Source organism: Homo sapiens, chromosome 19 (assembly GCF_000001405.40).
Source record: "Homo sapiens chromosome 19, GRCh38.p14 Primary Assembly".
NCBI classification, from domain to species: Eukaryota; Metazoa; Chordata; class Mammalia; order Primates; family Hominidae; genus Homo; species Homo sapiens.
In genome coordinates, this window is record NC_000019.10 from 14,429,046 (window position 1) to 14,443,440 (window position 14,395).

Below are 14,395 nucleotides of genomic sequence, written 5' to 3' on the forward strand. Positions count from 1 at the left end.
GAATGCCTGAAGGGTGGAGCGAGAATTTGGCTGGTTTCCCCAGCTCCATCTGGGGAGGCAGCCTGGGACCTCACAGGTTGGGGAGGGAGGGCCCATCCCTGTGCAAGGTGGTTCCAGACAACCCAATCCTTCGGCCCCCATGAAACCTCACTCTGCCTTGTCCTCCTCATCTGTAGAATGGGTGGGCTGGAGAATTAGAGGGAGCTACTTCGTTTCTCAGGGAAAGGGCCATAGACATCCTGGCTTGATGATTGGGGTAAGGGACTTCTCAGCTTACTCACCTGCAAAACTGGAGCAAAAGAACTAGTTTGGGCCAAGCTTGATGGCTCATGCCTGTAATCCCAGCATTTCAGGAGGCCAATGCAGAAGAATTGCTTGAGCCCAGGAGTTCAAGACCAGATTGGGCAATATTACGAGATCCAGTATCTACACACACACAAAAAAATTTTTTGAAAAAACTAGCCAGACATGGTGGTGCACACCTGTGGTCCCAGCTACCTGGGAGGCTGAGGCAGGAGGATCGTTTAAACCTGCAAGGTGGAAGCTGCAGTGAGCTGCGATGGCGCCACTGCACCCCAGCCTGAGTGACAGAGTGAGACCCTGTCTCTAAATAAATAAATATCAGGCTGGGCGCGGTGGCTCACACCTGTAATCCCAGCACTCTGGGAGGCCAAGGTGGGCAGATCACCTGAGGTCAGGAGTTCGAGACCAGCCTGCCCAATGTAGAGAAACCCCATGTCTGCTAAAAATACAAAATTAGCCGGGTGTGGTGGTACATGCCTGTAATTCCAGCTACTCAGGAGGCTAAGGCTGGGAATTGCTTGAATCAGGGAGGCAGAGGTTGCGTTCAGTTGAGATCGTGCCATCACACTTCAGCCTGGGCAACGAGAGCGAAATTCTGTCTAAACAAACAAACAAACAAATAAATAAATAAATATGAAAGAACTAGCTTGCAGAGTTTTTTTTTGTTTTTTTTTTTTTTTTTTTTTTGAGAGGGAGTCTCGCTCTGTCCCCCAGGCTGGAGTCTCGCTCTGTCCCCCAGGCTGGAGTGCAGTGGCGTGATCTCAGCTCACTGCAACCTCTGCCTCCCAGGTTTACGCCATTCTCCTGCCTCAGCCTCCCGAGTAGCTGGGACTACAGGCGCCCGCCACCACGCCCGGCTAATTTTTTGTATTTTTAGTAGAGATGGGGTTTCATCGTGTTAGACAGGATGGTCTCGATCTCCTGACCTCGTGATCTGCTCGTCTGGGCCTCCCAAAGTGCTGGGGTGACAGGCGTGAGCCACCATGCCTGGCCATGAGTTCTTTTCTTTTCTCTTTTCTTTTTCTCCCTTCCCCTCCCTCCCTTCCTTCCTCTCTCTCTCTCTCTCTCTCTCTCTCTCTCTTTCTTTCTTTCTGACAGTCTTGCTCTATCACCCAGGGGGGTGTGCAGGGGTGCGATCTTGGCTCACTGCAACCTCCGCCTCCCAGGTTCAAACCATTCTCCTGCCTCAGTCTCTCAAGTAGCTGAATATACAGATGCCCGCCAGCACACCTGGCTAATTTTTTAATTTTTAGTAGAGATGGGGTTTCACCATGTTGGCCAGGCTGGTCTCGAATTCCTGGCCTCAAGTGATTCACCCCCCTTGACCTCCTAAATTGCTGGGATTACAGGTGGGAGCCACTGCGCCCAGCCACAGAGTTCTTTCTTTTATTCAATCAACAAGCATTTGAGAAACAGTTAGAAGGCTCATGTGGCTGGAAGGAGTGAGCAAGGGGGAGAGATGGGAGGAAGTAAGAACTGATGGTGCAGAGCTTCGTGGGCTGTGGGGAGGACCTGAGTTTTTTCCCTGAGTGAGCTGGGAGCCATGGAGGGTTCTAGACAGAGGAGGGGCATACCCCATCTCATGTGTTCACTGCTCCCTTGGGCTGTTGTGGGAACAGACTGTGGGGGCGAGGGCAAAACCAGGAGACCAGGAGAGAGGTGACTACTGGTTAAGGTGAGTGATGGTAGGGACTGGATGCGACAAAGTGGAAAGGTGAAATGTGGGTGAATTCTGGGCTTGTGTGTGTGTTGTTGTTGTTTTCTTTCTCTTTTTTTTTTTTTTTTTGAGAGGGAGTCTCGCTCTGTCGCCCAGGCTGGAGTGCAGTGGCGCGATCTCGGCACACTGCAAGCTCCGCCTCCTGGGTTCATGCCATTCTCCTGCCTCAGCCTCCCTAGTAGCTGGGACTACAGGCGCCCGCCGCTTTCACCATGTTAGCCAGGATGGTCTCAATCTCCTGACCTCGTGATCCGCCTGCCTCTGCTTCCCAAAGTGCTGGGATTACAGGCGTGAGCCACCACACCTGGCCCCCTCTTTTTTCTTTTTTTAGATGGAATCTTGCTCTGTCGCTCAGGCTGGAGTGCAATGGCACGATCTCGGCTCACTGCAATCTCCGCCTCTTGGGTTCAAGCTATTCTCCTGCCTCAGCCACCCGAGTAGCTGGGATTACAGGCATGCGCCACCACGTTCAGCTAATTTTATATTTTTTAGCAGAGATGGGTTTCACCATATTGGCTAGGCTGGTCTCGAACTCCTGACCTCCAGTGATCCATCCACCACCCACCTTGGCTTCCTAAAGGGCTGGGATTACAGGGGTGAGCCACTGCACCCAGCCGTTTTTTTTTTTCTTTCTTTTTTTAGACAGGGTCTCGCTCTGTCACCCAGGCTGGAGTGCAGGGGCATCATGATTTCTCCCCACAGTGATGCATTCTCGGCCTCTTGAGCTCAAGCGATCCTCCCGCCTCAGCCTCCTGGTAGCTGGGACTACAGGCGTGCGCCACCATGCCCGGCTGGATGGGTTCTGGATCAGCATAATTCTCCTCCTTCTCTCTTTCTGTTGTTAGTATCTCCCAAAGAGTTGCTCAGAGGAAAAAATAAGAGAGAAAACATCGCGCCCTGGTTTCTGGGACGACTGAAACCACGCAGAGCCACGGGTAACCAAGGTACCCGCAGCCCACGGCGCTTCCTCGGGTCCCAAAGGGCGCCAATGTGCAGGCACCGCCGCCAGGGAGCGCTCCCTGCCGGAGCCCCGGAGACCAAGGTTTGGCTCCCTCGCCTGGTTTCCGAAGGAGTGAGGGTCCGACGGCGGCCACGAACAAAGCTGCACGCTCTGCAGACCCCGGAGATCCCCTAGAAATTCCGCAGAGGCCTCCACTCTCCGCTTGGGCACGAGTCTGCATTTATGGAGCGCCATCTGCATGCAGCAGCCCCGAAAAAGAAGGCGATGCCCATTTTATAGCGGGGAAAACTGAGACTCAGAGGCCACAGGGGTCCCCAGGATGAACAGCAAGTTGGGATTCAAACCTCTTTTAATAACAATAACGATAATAGAGGCTGGGCGCGGTGGCTCAGGCCTGTGTAATCTCAGCACTTTAGGAGACCGAGGCGGGCGGATCACCTGAGATCAGGAGTTCGAGGCCAGCCTGGCCAATATGATGAAACCCCGTCTCTACTAAAAATACAAAAATTAGCCGGGTATGGTGGTGGGCACCTGTAATCCCAGCTACTCAGGAGGCTGAGGCAGAAGAATCACTTGAATCCGGGAGGCGGAGGTTGCAGTGAGCCGAGATCGCGCCACTGCACTCCAGCATGGGCAACAGAGCGAAACTCCGTCCAAAAATAGCAAAACAACAAACAAACAATTACGATAACATTAAAAGTGACAGCAGCTAACACTTATGGAGCGTCTAGTGTGTTCTCAGCTCTTGGCCTGCACTGTCTTATTGAATTTTACCAACACCGAGGAGGTGAGCGCATCATTCCCATTTCACAGATGAGGTGCCTGGAAGGGTTTGTCTCCCTCAAGGCGTAAAGCGCTAGGATTTGAATGCAGATCCGCCCAGAGCTTGTCTCCAGGTAACGGGGAAACTTCCATGCCCTTGAATAGGGGACCACAGATGCAGGCGTCCCGAGCTTGCAAATGCACCGGGGTAGGGTGGGGTGGGGGGTTATTCTGTTTGTTTTTTTCAGGGGTCCCGGGAGGCCCAAAGGCCTCCGCCGCTCTCGGCTTGAACGCGTGGAACCGTTCTCCTCGGGTTCCCGCGCGCTCCAATGGGGGACCCCTCGGCAGCGTGCGGTCGTCTCGGGACCCGGAAAGAGGAAAGGTGGGGAGCCGATGGGGATGCTCCGGGCTCGGGAGACCGAGGGGGCGGACGGGCGGGACCCCGCAGCCCCGGGGGCCTCTGGGAACCCGTCCCCCCTCGGCCCCGCCCCCTCCCCGGGCGCCGACCTCCGGGGTCACGTGACCAGGCCCGGCGGCCGCTGGGGCCGGAGGGCGCGGCGCGGGGACGCGGCGGCCTGGCCAGGCGAGGCGGGAGCCGAGCAGGCCGGAGCGGGCCGCGCGCCGGGGAGGGTCGCGCCGCGCCCGCCCCCTCCCCGCCACGCCCGGGGCGCACGCGCGCTCCTCTGGCCGCCCCTCCCTCCGCGCGGGGACCCCTGGCGGGCGGCAGGAGGACATGGCCAGCGACGCCGTGCAGGTAGGCGCACCTGCGTCTGGAGTCCCGGGGCGACCGGACGGCGCCGGCGGACCCCGCCCGCGCGCTGCCGGGGGAGCCCCCCCAGCCCCCGGAACGGGACTCGGGTGACGATGGCAAGGGCGGGGGCCTCCGGAGCGCCCGGCGCCCCCTCCCTGGGCCGGGACTGTGGAGCCAGCGAGGCCCCCTTCTCGGCAGGTGGCGATGTGGACTGGGCTGGTTTGGGGGCGATCCCGGAGGCAACCCCTGCTACACCCTCAAACTCGGCCTCTCCTGGAGAACTAGAAGGGGCGCGGCGGAGGCTCTACTTCGGGTGTCTGTGGCTGGCTGGGCGTCCCAGTGCCTCTCGTCCGCCCCCAAACTCATCCCCCTCCCCAGGGTTGGGTACCCGGCAGGTGCCGCTCCACCTGGGGCACGTGCCTGGCGCAGTGCCCTGGGAGGGGAGGAGGCTGCTGGGCCCGGCCCGTGCCCTTCCCCCGCATAACAAAGCTCCAGCCACCCCCGCCTCTAGACAGCTTTATGATGTTCCAGACGCCACCCAGATTGGCACCTGTTGGCGGAAGTACCCGAGTCACTGCATTAGGTCGGGGGAATGGGGACCCCCACTCCCACCCTTGGGCTGTCAGGTGGAACCTTCTCCTGGGTGGGGAGTGTCTCAGTCAACAGGCCAGGGATGCTCCCATATATAGAATCCTACTTTTTTGCATGGTGGCTGGGCATGGCTGGGTCACCCCCACCCTGCTAACACACACACGTGACTGGCACCAGCCTCCCGCCCAGCCAGATTCCCCTTGTGCCACCTGGTGGGGATCACTGACCTGGACTCATCTTCCCCGTCTGTGACAAGCACGGCCAGGGTGACTGCCAACCTTCTTTGGTTCAAGTGACCCAAATCTGAGAAATGTCTGTGCCTCAGTGTCCCCATTAGCACCTCACCATCCAGTTCATTGTCCTGTGGTTGTTGTGTAACTGGGTTCTCGTCTCCTTCTGCACCTGCCCCCGGCCCCTTTGTGTCTCCCCGGTAACCCCCGGTCCCTCCCGCCTTCCCAGTCCTGCTGATGGCCTGCCGGCCTTGCCGAGGAGCTGGGCGTATCTGGTGTTGCCGATCACACAAGGTCAGACCTCAAGGCCGGGATGGGCCGGGGTCCCTGCCTCTACCCCCGGCCCAGGGAGGGCTGTGTAGGAATCCCCGGGTGCATGCATGCGCTTGGCGCATCCCACACATGACCCAGACAGGCTGTGATTCCTGCAACGAGGCTGGACCCACGCCCTGGTCCCCCCTTCCCATCTCCTCCCCAGTCTCTTCCCCGCTCCTGGTCATCCCTCTCTCATGGTTGCTTGGGCCTGCTGCCCTGTCCCTCTGTCTGTCCCAACGTGTGCCTGTCTGTTCTGTGTCCTGCAAACGGATGTCCTGTCCAGATTCCGGAAACGCCCAAGGCATTGAAATCTCCGGATGTGGGAGTCTAGGTCCCTGGCTGCTCTGGCAAGATGGGGATTATGGGAGGCAGGTCCTCTGGGTCTGAGGTCTCCGCTCCATGGTGGGCAGCGGAGGAGCAGGGGTTCTCCATAGGACAGGCCAGGCCAGGGCCCTGAGTCCTGGGTTTGCCTTGCTGGCCCTCAGGTGACCCCTGTGCCTTGGGTAGAAGTGAGTCACTCAGGGGAGGAGAACCCAGGAGCCCAGCCTCCCTCCCTCTGTGCATTACAGACCTCAGCTGCTGGAGGTGGGGCTGAGGGAGGCCACCTCTCCTCTCTGCCTGGACTTCCCCAGTTGAGCTGGCCCCGCTCTTGGCTGTGTCCTCCCTCTGCCTGCTGGGGATGGGGTGGGGCCTTCTGAGCGAGGGTGGTATTTGGTGAGCCTGGGCTTAAATTCCAGCGCTGACACTTCCTCGCTGTGTGTCCTGGGCCCAGTGCCTTCGCCTCTCTGAGCCTCGGTTCTGACCTAGGAAAAATGGGACTAAGAGGGTGTTCATGGGAGAGAGAGAGACCGAGACCTTGCCAGCACTTGGCAGGCAGGGCTGCTGTGAAGTCGTTACTGGTAAGCGTCCTGGTCAGCAGCTCAGGGTGTGAATCTGTGTCCTTATTGATTGATTTACTGATTTATATTTATTTATTTTAGAGGAGAGAGTCTTGCTCTGTCACCCAGGCTGGAGTACAGTGGTGCGATCCTATGTCACCGCAGCCTCGATTTCCAATTTCCGGGGCTCAAGTGATCTTCCTGCCTCAGCCTCCCAAGTAGCTGGGACAAAAGGCACAGACCAACATGCCTGGCTAATTTCCTTTTACTTTTGTAGAGACAGGGTCTCGCTCTGTTACCCAGGCTGGAATGCAGTGACGAGATTCTTGTTCACTGCAGCCTCAAACACCTGATCTACAGGACTACAGGCATGCACCACCACACCTGGCTAATTTTTTTTTCTTTATTTTTTTAAATTGAGACTGGGGTCTCACTCTGTCACCCAGGCTGGAGTGCAGCGGCATGATCTCTGCCTCCTAGACTCAAGCCGTTCTCCCACCCCAGCCTCCTGAGTAGCTGGGACTACAGGTGCACACCACCACGCCTGGCTAATTTTTGTATTTTTAGTAGAGTCAGGGTTTCGCCATGTTGCCCAGGCTGGTCTTGAAATCTTGAGCTCAAAGTAACCTGCCCGCCTAGGCCTCCCAAAGTGCTGGGATTACAGGTGTGAGCCACTGCCCCCAGCCTTTCTTTTTTTCTTTTCCTTTTTTTTTTGTGATGGAGTCTCGCTCTGTCGCCTAGGCTAGAGTGCAGTGGCTTGATCTCGGCTTACTGCAAATTCTGCCTCCTGGGTTCACGCCATTCTCCTGCCTCAGCCTCCCAAGTAGCTGGGACTACAAACGCCCGCCACCATGCCCGGCTGATTTTTTTGTGTTTTTAGTAGAGACAGGGTTTCACCTTGTTAGCCAGGATGGTCTAGATCTCCTGACCTCGTGATCTGCCTGCCTCGGCCTCCCAAAGTGGTGGGATTATAGGCATGAGCCACCGCGCCTGGCCTCTTTTTTTCTTTTTTGAGACAAAGCCTGGCTCTGTTGGCCAGGCTGGAGTGTGATGGTGTGATCTCGGCTCACTGGAACCTCTGCCTCCTGGGCTCAAGCCAGCTTCCCACCTCAGGCTCCCAAGTAGTTGAGACTGCAGGCACATGCCATCACACCTGGCTAATTCTTACATTTTTTGTAGAGATGGGGTCTCACCGTTATTGCCCAGGCTGGTCTCGAACTCCTGAGCTCAAGCAGTCCTCCGGCCTTGGCCTCCTAAAGTGCTAGGATCACAGGCAGAGAGAGCCACCACACCTGGCCAATACTTTTTTATTTTTTGTAGAGATTTTTGTAGGTCTTGCTGTGTTGCCCAGACTTATCTCCAATTCCTGACCTCAAGCACTGCTCCTGCCTCAGCCTCCCAAAGCGCTGGGATTACAGACGTGAACCACCACACCTGGCCAAATCTATGACCCTTAACCGTAGGCTTCTCAGCCTTAGCACTACTGACATTCAGGGCTGGGTCATTCTTTGCAGTAGAGGCTGTCCTGTGCACTGCAGGGCGTTGAGTGGCATCCCTGGCCTCACCCTGATAGAAGTCACCTCCTTACCCACAGTCAGGACAACCAAAAATGTCTCCGGATGTTGCCGCATGTCCCCGGGTATGGGGAGAAAATCTCCCCTCAATGGAAAACTGTTACTGGCCAGGCACAGTGCCTCACACTTGTAATCCCAGAACTTTGGGAGGCCGAGGCTGGCTGATTGCTTGAAGTCAGGAGTTTGAGACCAGCCTGGCCAACATGTGAAACCCCGTCTCTACTAAAAATACAAAACATTAGCTAGGCGCAGTGGCACGTGCCTGTAGTCCCAACTACTCAGGAGGCTGAGGCAGGGGAATTGCTTGAACCCGGAAGGTGGAGATTGCAGTGAGCCGAGATTGCACCACTGCACTCCAGCCTAGGCGAAAGAGCAAGACTCTGTCTCAAACCAACGAACAAAACATACTACTGTGACTTCCTTGAGCCTCAGTTTCCTCACCTGTGAAGTGGGGAGTTCTTGGCAGCTGCTCAAGATTTGTAGTGAGGGTTGGGAAGATGGTGGGAGTGATACACTTGGTCTGTGGCATTCCTCCCTGGGGGCAGCTGCGCTTGAGATCAGTCACGAGCCAAGGATAACATTCCTTGTCTGTGAAATGGATGCTCCCAGCTGAAGGAGATAACCCCAGGGGGCCATTTCCTAGCCAGCATTTGGAATCTGGGTGCTCTTGTTTTAAATCAAGGCCCTGGCCACGGGGCAGTGACTCACACCTGTAATCCCAGCACTTTTGGAGGCCGAGGCAGGAGGATTACTTGAGGCCAAGAGTTCGAGATCAGCCTGGGCAACATAGTGAGACCCCATGTCTATGAAAAATACAAAAATTAGCCAGGTGTGGTGGCGTATGCCTGTAGTCCCAGCTGCTCGGGAGGCTGAGCTGGGAGGACTGTTTGAGCCCAGGAGGTAGACACTGCAGGGAGCCATGATCACACCACTGCACTCCAGCCTGGGCAACAGAGTAAGACCCTGTCTCAAAAAAAAGAAAAAAAGTTACATGAGATATTCAACTTTACTGTAAAATAGCTTTGTGTTAGACGTTTTTGCCCAACTATAGGCTTGGGTAAGTGTTCTGAGCACATTTAAGGTAGGCCAGGGTGAGCTATGATGTTTGGTAGGTAAGATATATTAAATGCATTTTTGACTTATGATATTTGCAACTTATGATGAGCTTATCAGGAAGTAATGCCATCATAAGTTGTTCTTGAATGTTACTGTGTGCTTAGCAAGTGGTTTTGTAGGCTGCTGATTTGGGGCATTCTTTTTTTTTTTTTTTTTTTTTGAGATAGAGTCTCACTCTGTCGCCCAGGCTGGAGTGCAGTGGTGTGATCTCGACTCACTGCAATCTCCACCTCCTGGGTTCAAGCGATTCTCATGCTTAGCCTCCCAAGCAGCTGGGATTACAAGCACGTGCCACCATGCCTGGCTAATTTTCATATTTTTAGTAGAGACGGGGTTTCATCATGTTGGCCAGGCTGGTCTTGAACTCCTGACCTCACGTGATCTGCCTCGCTCATCCTCCCAAAGTGCTGGGATTACAGATGTGAGCCACCACGCCCGGCGTGATTTTGGAAATTGGAAATTCTTTTTTTTTTTGAGACGGAGTTTCGCTCTGGCGTGCAATGGCACGATCTTGGCTCACCTCGACCTCTGCCTCCTGGGTTCAAGTGATTCTGCTTCAGCCTCCCAAGTAGCTGGGATTATAGGCATGCACCACCAAACCCGACTAATTTTGTATTTTTTTTTTTTTTTCAGTAGAGACGGGGTTTCTCCATGTTGGTCAGGCTGGTCTCGACCTCCCGACCTCAGGTGATCCACCCACCTCGGCCTCCCAAAATGCTGGGATTATAGGCGTGAGGCACCGTGCCCGGCCTGGTTTTGGAAATTCTTATCCCAGTCCCCCAGTGCTGTCCCCTAATTGTGTTGGCCTGAGGGAGGTGCCACTGGGCTGGCTGGGACCCCGGGCCTCTCAGCTATGGTCAATAACAGTTGGCGACTGGACTGAGAGGAAGCAGGAAGTTGGGAGGGCCCGTCTGCAGGAAAGGGGCCTCACCTCTGAAGAAGTGGCTGTTCTGACCCTGAAGGGGAAGCCGGGGACAAGGGGTGGCTGGGAGAGTCTGGAGGGACATATGCAGGTAGTCGCAGGGCTGGAGGTCTGTGGGAGCATGGATGTGCTGCAGGGGCCTCGGGGAGCGTGCATATGTGTGTGAGCATGTGCACACGCATGAGCATGTGGGCCATGCCCTCTCGGGCAGGTGGGAGTGTGTCTTGTATGGGTTCTAGAGGGAAGCTCATAAGCACTTGTATGTGTTTGCAAATAAGTGCATATGTGGTAGGCATGGGAATGGGTACACTGTGAGCCCATTTTCCAGGCACACACCTGCAGGTGTAGAAGTGTGCACCTGTGTGTGGATCTTTGTTTCATCCACACACACAGGCATGGGAGTGTGCACACATGTGAGCCTGTGTTGCAGGCACACACCTGCAGCCATAACTGTGCAAACACAGGCCAGGCGCGGTAGCTCACGTCCAGTAATCCCAGCACTTTGGGAGGCTGAGGGGGGCGGATCACCTGAGGTCAGGAGTTCGAGACCAGCCTGGCCAACATGGTGAAACCCTGTCTCTACTAAAAATACAAAAATTAGCTGGGCGTGGCGGCACATGCCTGTAATCCCAGCTACTTGGGAGGCTGAGGCAAGAGAATTGCTTGAACCTGGGAGGCGGAGGTTGCAGTGAGCCAAGATCACACCAGTGCACTCCAGCCTGGGCAACACAAAGGGAGACTCTGTCTCAAAAAAAAAAAAAAAAAAAAAAAAAGGAAAGAAAAAGAAAGCGTGCAAACATTTGTGAGCCTGTGTTCTGTGCATATCCACATATGTATTTGAAAGTTAGTGCACACTCAAGTCAGCCCTCGGAGCCTGCGTCCCCTCATGGATACACCATGAGTGTGTGAATGTACAAACTGCCTGCACCTTGGACATTCTCTAGGGACAGGGAGCAAGGACTGTCCCTGGGTTTCATCTAGAGGAACAGGAGGTCCCTTAGATGCCCTGGAGTTGGCCCCGCGCGAGGGGTGCTGGGAGTTGACAGGAAAGAGGAAGTGGCAGCCGAGAGGCCCTGGTGGGGCTGAGGTTCAGGAAGAGGGCGGGGCCCTCAGCCCGGACCCAGGATGGCGGAGGCCAATAACCCCTCGGAGCAGGAGCTGGAGGTGGGGTCCAGGGTCCCTGTGGGGGCAGGCAGAAGGGGGCCCCAAGTGGCACAGGCCAGTAGTCCTTCCCCGGGTACTTCTCAGTTTGGGAACAAGGAGAGGAGATGGGGCACTGGCCTCAGAGTTCTCTCTCTGGAGGATGAGAGTATCCAGTGCCCTTCGGGGCTCCCAGATTGGGGAGAGACAGAAGGAAGGAGACCGGGCTCTGTTCTTTAGGGTCCCAGTTGTTGAACATAGGAGAAGAGCAGATGAGGGTCTTCAAGACCCCATAGTTTGGGGGTACAGCAGAGAGAAGACTTGGCCTGCCCTTGGGATACCCTAGTTTTGGGGGTGTAGCCAAGGAAAGATGAGGCCTGCCCTCGGGATGCCATAGTTTCAGGGTACAAGTGAGGGAAGATGGGGCCTGTCCTCAGGACCCTGTAGTTTTAGGGGTACAGCAGAGAGAAGACAGGGCCTGCCCTTGGGCCCTCTTAGTTTCGGGGAGCAGCAGAGAAAAGAAGGAATCTTCCCTTGGGACCCTCTAGTTTGGGGGAGGCAGCAGAAGGGAGACAGATCTTATTCTTGAGACCCCCTTAATGTGGGGGACGCTGTGGTGGTGGGGGTGACAAGGCCCTGCTCTTGAGACCTCCCAGTTTGGGGAGGTCAGGAAGCAGTGGCAAGGCCTCGTCACCTTCCAGTTTTGGGAGTCAGAGGAGGTAGAGCAGGCCCTGTCTTGGGAGCCCCAGTCCAGGGCAGAGGCTGGGCCAGGCTGGCTGCATGTGGTCTGCACCTGGAGTTCTCCTAGCTCCACTGACCCTGTTCTGTCCTCCGCAGAGTGAGCCTCGCAGCTGGTCCCTGCTAGAGCAGCTGGGCCTGGCCGGGGCAGACCTGGCGGCCCCCGGGGTACAGCAGCAGCTGGAGCTGGAGCGGGAGCGGCTGCGGCGGGAAATCCGCAAGGAGCTGAAGCTGAAGGAGGGTGCTGAGAACCTGCGGCGGGCCACCACTGACCTGGGCCGCAGCCTGGGCCCCGTAGAGCTGCTGCTGCGGGGCTCCTCGCGCCGCCTCGACCTGCTGCACCAGCAGCTGCAGGAGCTGCACGCCCACGTGGTGCTTCCCGACCCGGCGGCCACCCACGGTGAGCTGGGATGCCTCTGGGGATGCGGGACTCCAGGGATTCCACTGCTCACTGGCTCACCCATGGTCTCCAGAGCCAGGTTAACCCATCTCCACGGACCCCCAGGGAGATGCATGCCATGACCCCCGTAGCCACCAACACCCAGAGAGGTGCATACAGCCACACCAGCACCCGGTAACACTCAAGACCGTGCATGCTGTCACATGAATACCTCTAGACACAGCCACGCCAACACCCAGGCAACATTCAAGGATGTGCATGCAGTCACACAAACACCTAAAAAAACAGCCACACCAACACCCAGGCAACACCCAAGGGTGCACATACTGTCACACGAATACCTCCAGACACAGCCACGCCAACACCCCAGGCAACACTCAAGGATGTGCACACTGTCACACGAATACCCAGAAACTCCCACAGTTACATGGATGATAACCAAAGACTGTTTATTTTTGTTTTTGTTTGGAGACAGGATCTTGCCTTGTCACCCAGGCTGGAGTACAGTGGTGTGATCAAAGCTCACTATAGCCTCAATTTCCTGGGCTCAAACAATCCTCCCACCTCAGCCTTCCAAGTAGCTGGGACTAAAGGCATACACCACCATGCCTGGCTAATTTAATTTTTTTTTTTTTTTTTTTTTTTGTAGAGAAAGGGTCTTGGTATGCCGCCAGGGCTTGGCTAGAACTCCTGGCTTCAAGTGATCCTCCTGCTTTGGCCTCCCAAATGCTGGGAATACAGGCGTGAGCCATTGCACCCAGCCTGTTTTTTAATTTAAAACATTTTTATTGGTTTTAACATTTTTTTTCTTTTTGAGATGGAGTCTTGCTCCATCACCCAGGCTGGAGAGCAGTGGTGCAATCTCAGCTCACTGCAACCTCCACCTCCCAGGTTCAAGTGATTCTCCTGCCTCAGCCTCCTGAGTAGCTGGGACTATAGGCTTGCACCACCACGCCCGGCTAATGTTTGTATTTTTAGTAGAGATGGGATTTCACCATGTTGGCCAGGCTGGTCTCAAACTCCTGACCTCAACTGATCCACCCACCTCAGGTGATGTGCCTCCCAGAATGCTGGGATTACAGGTGTGAGCCACCTCACTCAGCAGCTTGAATTTTTTTTGGTGGGGAAGGACAGAGTTTTGCTCTTGTCACCCAGGCTGAAGTGCAATAGCACGATCTCGGCTCACTGCAACCTCCACCTCCCAGGTTCAAGTGATTTTCCTGCTCCAGCCTCCCAAGTAGCTGGGATTATAGGCATGAGCCACCACGCCTGGCTAATTTTTGCATTTTTAGTAGAGACGGGATTTTGCCATGTTGGCCAGGGTGGTATTTAACTCCTGACTTCAAGCAATCCGCCTGCCTCGGCCTCCCAAAGTGCTGGGATTATAGGTGTGAGCCACTGCGCCCGGCCTCAGTCATTTCTGCACCCAGGGTCCCCTCAAGCATCACACCACTCTCCAGAGACTCATGCAGACACATGCATCCGGATGTGCCAACACCCGGAGACTCAGTCATACCAACCTGGAGATCTGAACTCACAGTTGTAGCAACAGTCAGAGATGTACGCAGAGCATCTCCCAACACCCACAATCTCAGACAGTCATTCTAACACATGGCGTCTCACAGAGTTACACTAACACCTAGGGAAACACACACTCAGCCATGCCAACACCCTGCAGCTCACAGATGGCACCACTCCCACACCCATAGGCTCACACAAGCCATGTACGTAGTTACTCATGGGCCTCTCAAATGCAGTGGACCCAGCACCAAGGACACACTAACACACCTGGGTGCTCGCCTGCACTCATTCATCCTGGGTTCTGCCCCAGCCCCGAGGGGTTTCCCTGGGAGGGTGGGTGGGTAGACTGCTGGGCCCTGGTGTCCCCCTGCCTGCCTGTCTGCTGGCCCCCAGCTCCCCCTCCTCCATGCCCCAGGGGCAATGCCCAGGCTGGGCTGAGGATGAAGCCTCCCAGGCAGGCCGAGGTGAGGATGCGT

General features: G+C 55.8%; 1 protein-coding gene across 2 annotated transcripts in view, besides 10 other annotated features; it reads left to right on the top strand.

The window, feature by feature from the left end:
* Positions 3,001-3,280: an enhancer, noted in NCBI's record as "active region_14169". NCBI's record gives its function as "activates an Ori minimal core promoter by ATAC-STARR-seq in GM12878 lymphoblastoid cells {active_cell/tissue: GM12878}" and the evidence as "EXISTENCE:reporter gene assay evidence [ECO:0000049][PMID:35858748]".
* Positions 4,011-4,350: a silencer, noted in NCBI's record as "silent region_10249". NCBI's record gives its function as "represses an Ori minimal core promoter by ATAC-STARR-seq in GM12878 lymphoblastoid cells {active_cell/tissue: GM12878}" and the evidence as "EXISTENCE:reporter gene assay evidence [ECO:0000049][PMID:35858748]".
* Positions 4,011-4,728: a biological region, named in NCBI's record as "H3K27ac-H3K4me1 hESC enhancer GRCh37_chr19:14544012-14544585".
* Positions 4,155-4,728: an enhancer, noted in NCBI's record as "H3K27ac-H3K4me1 hESC enhancer chr19:14544012-14544585 (GRCh37/hg19 assembly coordinates)". NCBI's record gives its function as "activates a minimal SCP1, AML or CMV promoter by ChIP-STARR-seq in naive H9 embryonic stem cells {active_cell/tissue: H9 hESC(naive)}" and the evidence as "EXISTENCE:reporter gene assay evidence [ECO:0000049][PMID:30033119]".
* PKN1 (protein kinase N1) overlaps positions 4,261-14,395 on the top strand; it is a 38,554-nt gene continuing 28,419 nt past the window's right edge. Inside the window, exons 1-2 of one of the 2 annotated variants that reach the window (NM_002741.5) lie at positions 4,261-4,497; positions 12,098-12,398. In NM_002741.5, coding sequence (NP_002732.3) covers positions 4,477-4,497; positions 12,098-12,398 — 322 coding nt within the window. In that variant the 5' untranslated portion in view covers positions 4,261-4,476. Of the gene's footprint in view, positions 4,498-11,231; positions 11,285-12,097; positions 12,399-14,395 lie in introns of those variants that run through there. The other variant, NM_213560.3, reaches the window with a different exon arrangement.
* Positions 4,521-4,590: a silencer, noted in NCBI's record as "silent region_10250". NCBI's record gives its function as "represses an Ori minimal core promoter by ATAC-STARR-seq in GM12878 lymphoblastoid cells {active_cell/tissue: GM12878}" and the evidence as "EXISTENCE:reporter gene assay evidence [ECO:0000049][PMID:35858748]".
* Positions 4,729-5,301: an enhancer, noted in NCBI's record as "H3K27ac-H3K4me1 hESC enhancer chr19:14544586-14545158 (GRCh37/hg19 assembly coordinates)". NCBI's record gives its function as "activates a minimal SCP1, AML or CMV promoter by ChIP-STARR-seq in naive H9 embryonic stem cells {active_cell/tissue: H9 hESC(naive)}" and the evidence as "EXISTENCE:reporter gene assay evidence [ECO:0000049][PMID:30033119]".
* Positions 4,881-4,990: a silencer, noted in NCBI's record as "silent region_10251". NCBI's record gives its function as "represses an Ori minimal core promoter by ATAC-STARR-seq in GM12878 lymphoblastoid cells {active_cell/tissue: GM12878}" and the evidence as "EXISTENCE:reporter gene assay evidence [ECO:0000049][PMID:35858748]".
* Positions 6,052-6,346: an enhancer, noted in NCBI's record as "tiled region #2073; K562 Activating DNase unmatched - State 1:Tss". NCBI's record gives its function as "activates a minimal TATA promoter and a strong SV40 promoter by Sharpr-MPRA in K562 cells {active_cell/tissue: K562}" and the evidence as "EXISTENCE:reporter gene assay evidence [ECO:0000049][PMID:27701403]".
* Positions 10,913-10,972: an enhancer, noted in NCBI's record as "active region_14170". NCBI's record gives its function as "activates an Ori minimal core promoter by ATAC-STARR-seq in GM12878 lymphoblastoid cells {active_cell/tissue: GM12878}" and the evidence as "EXISTENCE:reporter gene assay evidence [ECO:0000049][PMID:35858748]".
* Positions 11,073-11,192: an enhancer, noted in NCBI's record as "active region_14171". NCBI's record gives its function as "activates an Ori minimal core promoter by ATAC-STARR-seq in GM12878 lymphoblastoid cells {active_cell/tissue: GM12878}" and the evidence as "EXISTENCE:reporter gene assay evidence [ECO:0000049][PMID:35858748]".